We start from the raw sequence: 12692 nt of genomic DNA on the forward strand, positions 1-12692 counted from the left end.
ACCACAGGGGCAGACCTTCCCAAGGCTGTGGGAGCCCACCTCTTGCATCACCCTGACCTGAATATGAGACATGAAGTCAAAGGAGATTATTTTGGAACTTTAAGGTTTAATGACTGCCCTATTGGATTTCAGACTTGCATGGGGCCTGTAACCCCTTTGTTTTGGCCAACTTCTCCCACTTGGAATGGGTGTATTTACTCAATGCCTGTACCCACATTCTATCTAGGAAGTAACTAACTTCCTTTTGATTTTACAGGCTCATAGGCAAAAGGGACTTACTCGTGTTGTCTCAGATGACACTTTGGACTCGGACTTTTGAGTTAACTCTGAAATGGGTTAAGACTTTGGGGGACTATTGGAAGGGCATGATTCGGTTTTGAAATGTGAGGACATGAGATTTAGGAGGGGTGAGGGGTGGAATGATACAGTTTGGCTATGTCCTCACCTAACTCTCATCTTGAATTTTAGTTCCCACGTGTCATGGGAGGAACCTGGAGATAATTGAATCATGGGGGCAGTTTCCCCCATCCTGTTCTCATAATAGTGAGTTAGTGCTCACAAGGTCTCATGGTTGTATAAGGAGCTTCCCCCTTTGCTGAATTCTCATTCTCCTTCCTGCCACCATGTGATGAAGGACGTGTTTGCTTCCCCTTCCACCATGATTGTAAGTTTCGGAGGCCTCCCCAGCCATGCTGAATGGTGAGTCAATTAAACCTCTTTTTTTTACAAATTACCCAGTCTTGGGTACCAGTATTTTGGTCACAACCATTGAACCAGTCTCTGAGAAGTTCCAAACTTTCCCTTATCTTCCTGTCTTCTGAGCCCTCTAAACTCTTCCAACCTCCGCCCATTACCCAGTTGAAAGTTGCTTCCACATTTTCAGGTATCTTTATAGCGATGCCCCACTCCTGATACCAGTTTTCTGTTAGGCCATTCTTGCATTGCTATAAATACCTGAAACTGGGTAATTTATAAAGAAAAGAGGTATAATTGGTTCAGAGTTCTGAAGGCTGTATCAGCATGGCTCCAGCACCTGCTTCTGGTGAAGTCTTCAGAAACCTTACAATCATGGCAGAAAGTGAAGTGGGAGCAGTCACATCACATGGCAAGAGCAGGAACAGAGAGTGGTGGGGAGGTGCCACACACTTTCAAACAGTCAGATTTCACAAGAACTCACTATCTCAAGGACAGCACCAAGCCATCCAGAAGGGATCCACCCCCATGACACAAGCACCTCCCACCAGGCCCCACCTCTATCATTGAGGATTACATTTCAATATGAGACTTGGAAGGAACAAACATCCAAACTATATCAGCATCCAAATTGGAAAACAAGAAGTCAAACTATTGGGTTGGTGCAAAAGTAATTGCAATTTTTGCCATTTGCCACAATTACTTTTGCACCAACACAATATCTCTGTTCACTGATGATATAATCTTATACCTACAAAACCCTAAATACTTTTATTAAAAAACTCTTAGATTTGATGAACAAATACAGCAAAGTTTCAGGATACAAAATCAATATACAAAAATCAGTACCATTTTTATAACCAAGAGCAAGCTGAGAACCAAACTAAAAAAGCAATCCCATTTACAATAGCTACAAAGAAATAAAATATCTGGGAATATATTTAACCAAGGAGGAGAAAGATCTTTACTACAAAACACTGATGAAAGAAACTGTAGATGACACAAACAAATGGGAAAATATCCCACGCTCAGGGAGAAGAATGAATAACATCAGAATGACCACACTACCCAAAGCAATGTACAGATTCAATGCAATTCCTATCAAATTACCAATGTCATTTTCACAGAATTAGAAAAAGCAATCCTAAAATTCATATAGAACCAAAAAAAAGAGCTTGAATAGCCAAAGCAACCCTAAGCAAAAAGAACAAAGCAGGAGGCATTGCATTACCTGACCTCAAATTATATTATAAAGCTATAGTAACCAAAACAGCATGGTACTAGTATGAAAATAGACACATAGATCAATGAAATAGAAAAAGAGAACCTAGAAATAAACCCACATATCTACAGCCAGCTGATCTTTGACAAAGTTGACAAATATATACATGGGGAAAAAAATGACACCCTTTTTAATAAATAGTACTGGCAAAATTGGATTGCCATATGCAGAGAATGAAACTGGATCCCTATCTCTCACTATATACAAAAATCAACTCAGGATGAACTGAAGACTTAAATGTAAGATCTGAAACTCTAAAAATGCTAGAAGGAAATCCATGGAAAACTATTCTGGACATTGGTCTAAAGAATTCATAACCAAGACCTCAAAAGCACAAGCAACAAAAACAAAAATAGACAAATGGGACTTAATTAAACTCAAAAGCTCCTGCACAGCAAAAGAAACAATCAACAGAGTGAACAAACAACCTGCAGAATGGGGGAAATTATTTGTAAACTATGATCCAACAGGGGACCAATATCCAGAATTTACAAGAAACTCAAACAACTCAATAACAACAGAAATCAAAAATACAATTAAAAACGGGCAAAGGAAATGAGTGGACATTTTTCAGAAAAGACATACAAACGGCCAACAAGCATATGAAAAAATGGCCAACTTCACAAATTATCAGAGAAATGCAATTTAAAACCATAATGGGATATCATCTTATATCAGTCAGAATGGCTATTATTAAAAAATAAATAAATAACATGTTGGAGAAAGTACGGAGAAAAGACAACTCCTACATACTGTTGGTGGGAATGGAAATTACTACAACCTCTATGGAAAACAATATAGAGATTTCTCAAGGAAATAAAAATAGACCTACCATTCAACACAGCAATCCCACTACTGGGTATCTACCCAAAGGAAAAGAAATCATGATATCAAAAAGACACCTGCACTCATGTCTCTCATAGCACTATTTACAACAGCAAAGTCATGAAATCAACCTAAATATCTATCAATGGATGACTAGATAAAGAAAATATGGAGTGTGTGTTTGTGTACCTATGCATATATGTGTGTGTGTATATATATATATGCATATGCATATGCATATATGTGTATATATATATATACATATATATACATATATATATGTATGTGTGTATATATATATATATATATATATATATATATATATATATATACACACACACACACACACACACACACAATTTAATACCGTTTGGCCATAAAAAAAGAATGAAATCATATATTTTGCAGCAACATAGATGGAACTGGAGACCATTATCCTAAATGAAACAACTCAGAAAGTAAAATACAGCTTGTTCTCACTATATGAGTTAAATAATGTGTACACACATGGATACAGAGTGTGGAGTAATAGTCACTGGAGACTTGGAGGGGTGGGAAGGTAGGAGGTGGGTGAAGAATGAGAAATTACTTAATGGGTACAATGTACACTATTTGTGTGATGTTTACACTAAAAGTCCAGGCTTCACTGCTAAGCAATATATCCATGTAACAAAACTGCACTTGTACTCCTCACATTTATACAAATGTTAAAAATAGGAAACAAAAGCAAACTGGGTGGAGAAAAAAATGCAGATCATTCCATTGTATTTAGCAAAATCAAAGAATTCAAACACATTTAACAATATCCAACTTCATTTTGACAATCAAAAATATGCAATGTTTTCATAGCTTGTTAGTTCTGCTAAGAAAATACCTGATAGTGGATAATTTATAAAAAAACGAATTTATTTCTGACAGTTCTGCAGGCTGAGAAGTCCAAGATGAAGGTGCCAGATTCAGTGTCTGCTGTCTTGCTGCATTCTCACTTGGCAGAAGGCAGAAGGGCAAAAAAGGTATGAACCTGCTCTCTCACGCCATTTTAAAAGGACACTACTCTCGTCCCTGACAGCTGTCTTCATGACTTAATCACCTCCTGAAAGTCCCACCTCTTATCACATGGGTAATTAAGTTTTAACATATGAAATTCGGTGGATACATTTGGACCATAGCAAATGCGAATTAATCATTTTTAATTTTTAAAATAATTTGAAATAATTTCTAATGTATGGATATTTATCATTTGCCCAGATTCCTCAGCTGTTAAACTCTTTACCTCATTTGCTTTATAACTTTTTTTGCTTTATATATTATTGCATTTTATTCATTTCTTTCTGAAACATGAAAGGGGCAGGCATGGTGTCCACCCCTAAATTTGCCATTGTGGTTTTCCCCAAGGCAAAATTTTCTCTACATAATCATGCTACCACTTAAGGCAAAAACCAATGGCAAAACATGACTGCCCAAGCCACAGATGCCCTTCAGATGTTCACTCCCATGTGACAGTGTCTTGTTTTCCTTTCTGCTACAGGATCCGCACCCTGGAACATGTGTTGCATTCGGGAGTCATACCATTTTCTTCTTCTCCAGTCTCAAACTGTTCTTCATCATTCCTTGTACTTCTCACCCTCAATATCCTACATGAAATTGAATGATCCTCTACTGGGTCTTTCTGATGATTCTTCATGACCAGATTCAGTGATGTTCCCTTAGCGGGAAGAATACAGAAATTGTGCTGTGCCCTTAGTGCCTCCCACCAGGGATCACATTTGCTATCCCTCCCACCCTGGTGACGTAACCATTAATGACCTGGTCTGGTTGGCATCTGCCATCCCTATGCAGCTTTAATTTACACTTTTTACTTTATATTGAATAAGAGATATTCAAGGCAATGTCAGTAAACTGTTCCTCATCACATCTCCACTAACCAGCTTTTTTGTATAACTCCTATCTGAACCATCTAATACTATGATGATTGCCTAATGGCAGCTCTAGACATCCTGTAGTTGACGTCTACTCTAAGGAGTATTCCCTTCTCCTTCACTTTTCTATTTTTTTATTTATCTTCATATCAAAAATACTCTTCACTTATTATATTATCCAATGGGCTCCATTTTGTTACAATCACTTATTTTCATGCTTATGTGCCAGATTTGGCCAGTGGGAGACTTCTAAAGCTCATATTTTTACACAAGAGGTTCTAGGCTCAGACAATTCCAGATGTCATACTGATATTGTCAATTTCATCAAGAAATATGATTCCCTGTCATGGAGCATGTTATGCAGACACCAAGAGTGTTCATACTTATTTATACCTTATGTGTTTCAAAATCCAATCTCATAACCACATCTCTGATGTTCCCTGTCTCTATCTTACTTTCTCCTAATACCTCCATGTCCTCAGATGCTAGCTGGCTGGCTAGCTGCCAACGTGCCTCCATGTGACTACCTCCCCACTTCCTGTTTGAATCCTTGGGAGCTGGCTAATACACCACTAACACACATCTTCTCTGCTCACCTTTTCCCTCACTGCATTGCCTTCTAGGTTGTTCTAACCCTACTACTAAGGTAACCCAGCAACCAAGGCCAACCTCTGTGGCCAAAAGCAGAGGGAAGGAAATAACAGACAGGAAGAGAGAAAAGAAAGAGCAAGGGAAAGATACACATTTTCACTGGAAACAAAATTCTGAGCTGACCATTTTTTTCTTTCCTAATGGTACCCTAAGATTGTACAGCTCAAGGAGCAGAGCCAGGATTTTAAAAATGGGTGAGTCTGATTGCAGTTAGTAAATGTAGAAATTAGAATGAAATTAGAATATCACCATTTGGCAACTACTACAGAAATAGTAAAATTACGTAGTCACAAAAAAAAGAGACAATGAAGAAGACTGACTTACATAAAGAAAATGGTAAGACTCAACATTATGAAGGATGCCTATTCTTCCTAAACTTATCTGTAAATTCAATGCAGTCCCAACTAAAGTCCCTGGAATTTTTCATGAAAAGTTACAAGCTGATTTTAAAGTGTAAATGGAACACTTGTGAAGAACAACATAAAATAACTTGTCTGATTAGATAATTTTTTTTTTTTTTTTTTGAGCCGGAGTTTCACTCTTTGTTGCCTAGGCTGGAGTACAATGGCACAATCTCAGCTCACCACAACCTCCGCCTCCTGGGTCCAACGGATTCTCCTACCTCAGCCTCCTGAGTAGCTGGGATTACAGGCGTGCGCCACCACGCCTAATTTTGTATTTTTAGTAGAGACGGGGTTTCTCCATGTTGGTCAGGCTGGTCTCGAACTTCCGACCTCAGGTGATCCACCCACCTCGGCCTCCCAAAGATACTGACTTTTTATAAAACTATAAGGCAATATAGTACTGGCATAAAAATAAACAGAGCAGAACAGATCAGAATAGAGGACCAGGCGTGGTGGCTCATGCTTGTAATCCCAACACTGTGGGAGGCCAAGTCGGGAGGATCACTTGAGCTCAGGAGTTCCAGACCAGCCTGAGCAACATGGCGAGACCCTATCTCTACAAAAAATATATTTTAAAAAAATTAGCCAGGGATAGTGGCACACACCTGTAGTCCCAACAACTTGGGAGGCTGAGGTGAGAGGATTGCTTGATCCTGGGAGGTCGAGGCTGCAGTGAGCTATGATTGCGCTACTGCACTCCAGCCTGGGTGACAGAGTGAGACTCTGTCTCAAAAAAAAAAAAAAAAAAAGAATAGAGAACTCAAGAACAGAGATACATATGAAAAGTTGATTAAGACAGTCTGGGCTTTAAAGATCAGTGTGGGTGGATGGATGGATGGATGGATGGATGGATGGACAGAAAGATAGGGAAGAGAGAGAGAGAGATGGAAAGTCAGTGTAAGACAGACTGGGCGGGGTGGAGCAAAGATGGCCGAATAGGAACAGCTCCAGTCTATAGCTCCCAGCGTGAGCGACGCAGAAGATGGGTGATTTCTGCATTTCCAATTGAGGTACTGGGTTCATCTCACTGGGAGTGCTGGACAGTGGGTGCAGGACAGTGGGTGCAGCACACCGTGCATGAGCCGAAGCAGGGCGAGGCATCGCCTCACCCAGGAAGTGCAAAGGGTCAGGGAATTCCCTTTTCTAGTCAAAGAAAGGGGTGACAGATGGCACCAGGAAAATCGGGTTGCTCCCACTCTAATACTGCACTTTTCCAATGGGCTTATCAAACGGCACACCAGGAGATTATATCTCGCACCGGGCTTGGAGAGTCCTATGCCCACGGAGCCTCACTCATTGCTAGCACAGAAGTCTGAGATCAAACTGCAAGGCGGCAGCCAGGCTGGGGGAGGGGCGCCTGCCATTTGCTCAGGCTTGACTAGGTAAACAAAGTGGCCAGGAAGCTCAAACTGGGTGGAGCCCACCACAGCTCAAGGAGGCCTGCCTGCCTCTGTAGGCTCCACCTCTGGGGGCAGGGCACAGACAAACAAAAGACAGCAATAACCTCTGCAGACTTAAATGTCCCTGTCTGACAGCTTTGAAGAGAGTAGTGGTTCTCCCAGCACGCAGCTTGAGATCTGAGAACGGGCAGACTGCCTCCTCAAGTCTGTCCCTGACCCCCGAGTAGCCTAACTGGGAGGCACCCCCCAGTAGGGGCGGACTGACACGTCACACGGCCGGGTACTCCTCTGAGACAAAACTTCCAGAATAACGATCAGGCAGTAGCATTTGCGGTTCAACAATATCCGCTGTTCTGCAGCCACTGCTGCTGATACCCAGGCAAACAGGGTCTGGAGTGGACCTCCAGTAAACTCCAACAGACCTGCAGCTGAGGGTCCTGACTGTTAGAAGGAAAACTAACAAACAGAAAGGACATCCACACCAAAAACCCATCTGTATGTCACCATTATCAAAGACCAAAGGTAGATAAAACCACAAAGATGAGGAAAAAAACAGAGCAGAAAAACCGGAAACTCTAAAAATCAGAGCACCTCTCCTCCTCCAAAGGAACGCAGCTCCTTAACAGCAACGGAACAAAGCTGGATGGAGAATGACTTTGACGAGTTGAGAGAAGAAGGCTTCAGAAGATCAAACTACTCCAAGCTAAAGGAGGAAGTTCGAACCAATGACAAAGAAGTTAAAAACTTTGAAAAAAAAATTAGATGAATGGATAACTAGAATAACCAATGCAGAGAAGTCCTTAAAGGAGCTGATGGAGCTGAAAACCACAGCACAAGAACTACCTGACGAATGCGCAAGCCTCAGTAACCGATGCGATCAACTGGAAGAAAGGGTATCAGTGATGGAAGACGAAATGAATGAAATGAAGCATGAAAAGAAGTTTAGAGAAAAAATAATAAAAAGAAATAAACAAAGCCTCCAAGAAATATGGGACTATGTGAAAAGACCAAATCTACATCTGATTGGTGTACCTGAAAGTGATGGGGAGAACGGAACCAAGTTGGAAAACACTCTGCAGGATATTATCCAGGAGAACTTCCCCAATCTAGCAAGGAAGGCCAACATTCAAATTCAGGAAATACAGAGAACACCACAAAGATACTCCTCAAGAAGAGCAACTCCAAGACACATAATTCTCAGATTCACCAAAGTTGAAATGGAGGAAAAAATGTTAAGGGCAGCCAGAGAGAAAGACCGGGTTGCCCACAAAGGGAAGCCCATCAGACTAACCGCTGATCTCTCGGCAGAAATTCTACAAGCCAGAAGAGAGTGGGGGCCGATATTCAACATTCTTAAAGAAAAGAATTTTCAACCCACAATTTCATATCCAGCCAAACTAAGCTTCATAAGTGAAGGAGAAATAAAATACTTTACAGACAAGCAAATGCTAAGAGATTTTGTCACCACCAGGCCTGCCCTAAAAGAGCTCCTGAAGGAAGCACTAAACATGGAAAGGAACAACCAATACCAGCCACTGCAAAAACATGCCAAATTATAAAGACCATCAAGGCTAGGAAGAAACTACATCAACTAACGAGCAAAATAACCAGCTAACATCATAATGACAGGATCAAATTCACACATAACAATACTAACCTTAAATGTAAATGGGCTAAATGCTCCAATTAAAAGGCACAGACTGGCAAATTGGATAAAGGGTCAAGACCCATCAGTGTGCTGTATTCAGGAGACCCATCTCACATGCAGAGACACACATAGGCTCAAAATAAAGGGATGGAGGAAGATCTACCAAGCAAATGGAAAACAAAAAAAGGCAGGGGTTGCAATCCTAGTCTCTGATAAAACAGACTTTAAACTAACAAAGATCAAAAGAGACAAAGAAGGCCATTACATAATGGTAAAGGGATCAATTCAACAAGAAGAGCTAACTATCCTAAATATATATGCACCCAATTCAGGAGCACCAAGATTCATAAAGCAAGTCCTTAGTGACCTACAAAGAGACTTAGACTCCCACACATTAATAATGGGAGACTTTAACACCACACTGTCAACATTAGACAGATCAATGAGACAGTTAACAAGGATATTCAGGAATTGAACTCAGCTCTGCACCAAGCGGACCTAATAGACATCTACAGAACTCTCCACCCCAAATCAACAGAATATACATTCTTTTCAGCACCACACCACACCTGTTCCAAAATTGGCCACATAGTTGGAAGTAAAGCTCTCCTCAGCAAATGTAAAAGAACAGAAATTATAACAAACTCTCTCTCAGACCACAGTGCAATCAAACTAGACCTCAGGATTCAGAAACTCACTCAAAACGGCTCAACTACATGGAAACTGAACAACCTGCTCCTGAATGACTACTGGGTACATAATGAAATGAAGGCAGAAATAAAGATGTTCTTTGAAACCAACAAGAACAAAGACACAACATACCAGAATCTCTGGGACACATTCAAAGCAGTGTGTAGAGGGAAATTTATAGCACTAAATGCCCATGAGAGAAAGCAGGAAAGATCTAAAATTGACACCCTAACATCACAATTAAAAGAACTAGAGAAGCAAGAGCAAACACATTCAACAGCTAGCAGAAGGCAAGAAATAACTAAGATCAGAGCAGAACTGAAGGAAATAGAGACACAAAAAACCCTTCCAAAAACCAATGAATCCAGGAGCTGGTTTTTTGAAAAGATCAACAAAATTGATAGACCGCTAGCAAGACTAATAAAGCAGAAAAGAGAGAAGAATCAAATAGATGCAATAAAAAATGACAAAGGGGATATCACCACTGATCCCACAGAAATACAAACTACCATCAGAGAATACTATAAACATCTCTACACAAATAAACTAGAACATCTAGAAGAAACGGATAAATTCCTCAACACATACACTCTCCCAAGACTAAACCCAGAAGAAGTTGAATCTCTGAATAGACCAACAACAGGCTCTGAAATTGTGGCAATAATCAATAGCTTAACAACCAAAAAAAGTCCAGGACCAGATGGATTCACAGCTGAATTCTACCAGAGGTACAAGGAGGAGTTGGTACCATTCCTTCTGAAACTATTCCAATCAATAGAAAAAGAGGGAATCCTCCCTAACTCATTTTATGAGGCCAGCATCACCCTGATACCAAAGTCTGGCAGAGACACAACAAAAAAAAGAGAATTTTAGACCAATATCCTTGATGAACATTGATGCAAAAATCCTCAATAAAATACTGGCAAACTGAATCCAGCAACACAACAAAAAGTTTATCCACCATGATCAAGTGGGCTTCATCCCTGGGATGCAAGGCTGGTTCAACACACACAAATCAAAAAATGTAATCCAGCATATAAACAGAACCAAAGACAAAAACCACATGATTATCTCAATAGATGCAGAAAAGGCCTTTGACAAAATTCAACAACCCTTCATGCTAAAAACTCTCAATAAATTAGGTGTTGATGGGACGTATCTCAAAATAATAAGAGCTATCTATGACAAACCCACAGCCAATATCATACTGAATGGACAAAAACTGGAAGCATTCCCTTTGAAAACTGGCACAAGACAGGGATGCCCTCTCTCACCACTCCTATTCAACATAGTGTTGGAAGTTCTGGCCAGGGCAATTAGGCAGGAGAAGGAAATAAAGGGCATTCAATTAGGAAAAGAGGAAGTCAAATTGTCCCTGTTTGCAGATGACATGATTGTGTATCTAGAAAACCCCACTGTCTCAGCCCAAAATCTCCTTAAGCTGATAAGCAACTTCAGCAAAGTCTCAGGATACAAAATCAATGTGCAAAAATCACAAGCATTCTTATACACCAATAACAAACAGAGAGCCAAATCATGAGTGAACTCCCATTCACAATTGCTTCAAAGAGAATAAAATACCTAGGAATCCAACTTACCAGGGATATGAAGGACCTCTTCAAGGAGAACTACAAACCACTGCTCAATGAAATAAAAGAGGATACAAACAAATAGAAGAACATTCCATGCTCATGGGTAGGAAGAATCAATATCGTGAAAATGGCCATACTGCTCAAGGTAATTTATAGATTCAATGACATCCCCATCAAGATACCAATGACTTTCTTCACGGAATTGGAAAAAACTACTTTAAAGTTCATATGGAACCAAAAAAGAGCCCGCATAGCCAAGTCAATCCTAAGCCAAAAGAACAAAGCTGGAGGCATCAAGCTACCTGACTTCAAACTATACTACAAGGCTACAGTAATCAAAACAGCATGGTACTGGTACCAAAACAGAGATATAGACCAATGGAACAGAACAGAGCCCTCAGAAATAATGCTGCATATCTGCAACTATCTGATCTTCGACAAACCTGACAAAAACAAGAAATGGGGAAACAATTCCCTATTTAATAAATGGTGCTGGGAAAACTGGCTAGCCATATGGAGAAAGCTGAAACTGGATCCCTTCCTTACACCTTATACAAAAATTAACTCAAGATGGATTAAAGACTTACATGTTAGAACTAAAACCATAAAAACCCTAGAAGAAAATCTAGGCAATACCATTCAGGACATAGGCATGGGCAAGGACTTCATGTCTAAAACACAAAAAGCAATGGCAACAAAAGACAAAATTGACAAATGGGATCTAATTAAACTCAAGAGCTTCTGCACAGCAAAAGAAACTACCATCAGAGTGATCAGGCAACCTACAGAATGGGAGAAAATTTTTGCAACCTACTAATCTGACAAAGGGCTAATATCCAGAATCTACAATGAACTCAAACAAATTTACAAGAAAAAAAAAAACAACCCCATCAAAAAGTGGGCAAAGGATATGAACAGACACTTCTCAAAGGAAGACATTTATGCAGCCAAAAAACACATGAAAAAATGCCCATCATCACTGGCCATCAGAGAATGCAAATCAAAACCACAATGAGATGCCATCTCACACCAGTTAGAATGGCGATCATTAAAAAGTCAGGAAACAACAGGTGCTGGAGAGGATGTGGAGAAATAGGAACATGTTTACACTGTTGGTGGGACTGTAAACTAGTTCAACCACTGTGGAAGTCAGTGTGGCGATTCCTCAGGGATCTAGAACTAGAAATACCATTTGACCCAGCCATCCCATTACTGGGTATATACCCAAAGGATTATAAATCATGCTGCTATAAAGACACATGCACACGTATGTTTATTGCAGCACTGTTCGCAATAGCAAAGACTTGGAACCAACCCAAATGTCCAACAATGATAGACTGGATTAAGAAAATGTGGCACATATACACCATGGAATACTATGCAGCCATAAAAATGATGAGTTCATGTCCTTTGTAGGGACATGGATGAAGCTGGAAACCATCATTCTCAGCAAACTATCGCAAGGACAAAAAAACCAAACACCACATTTTCTCACTCATAGGTGGGAATTGAACAATGAGAACGCATGGACACAGGAAGGGGAATACCACACTCGGGGAACTGTTGTGGGGTGGGGGGAGGGGGGAGG

This window comes from Homo sapiens, chromosome 14, assembly GCF_000001405.40.
Source record: "Homo sapiens chromosome 14, GRCh38.p14 Primary Assembly".
In the NCBI taxonomy this organism is placed as follows: domain Eukaryota; kingdom Metazoa; phylum Chordata; class Mammalia; order Primates; family Hominidae; genus Homo; species Homo sapiens.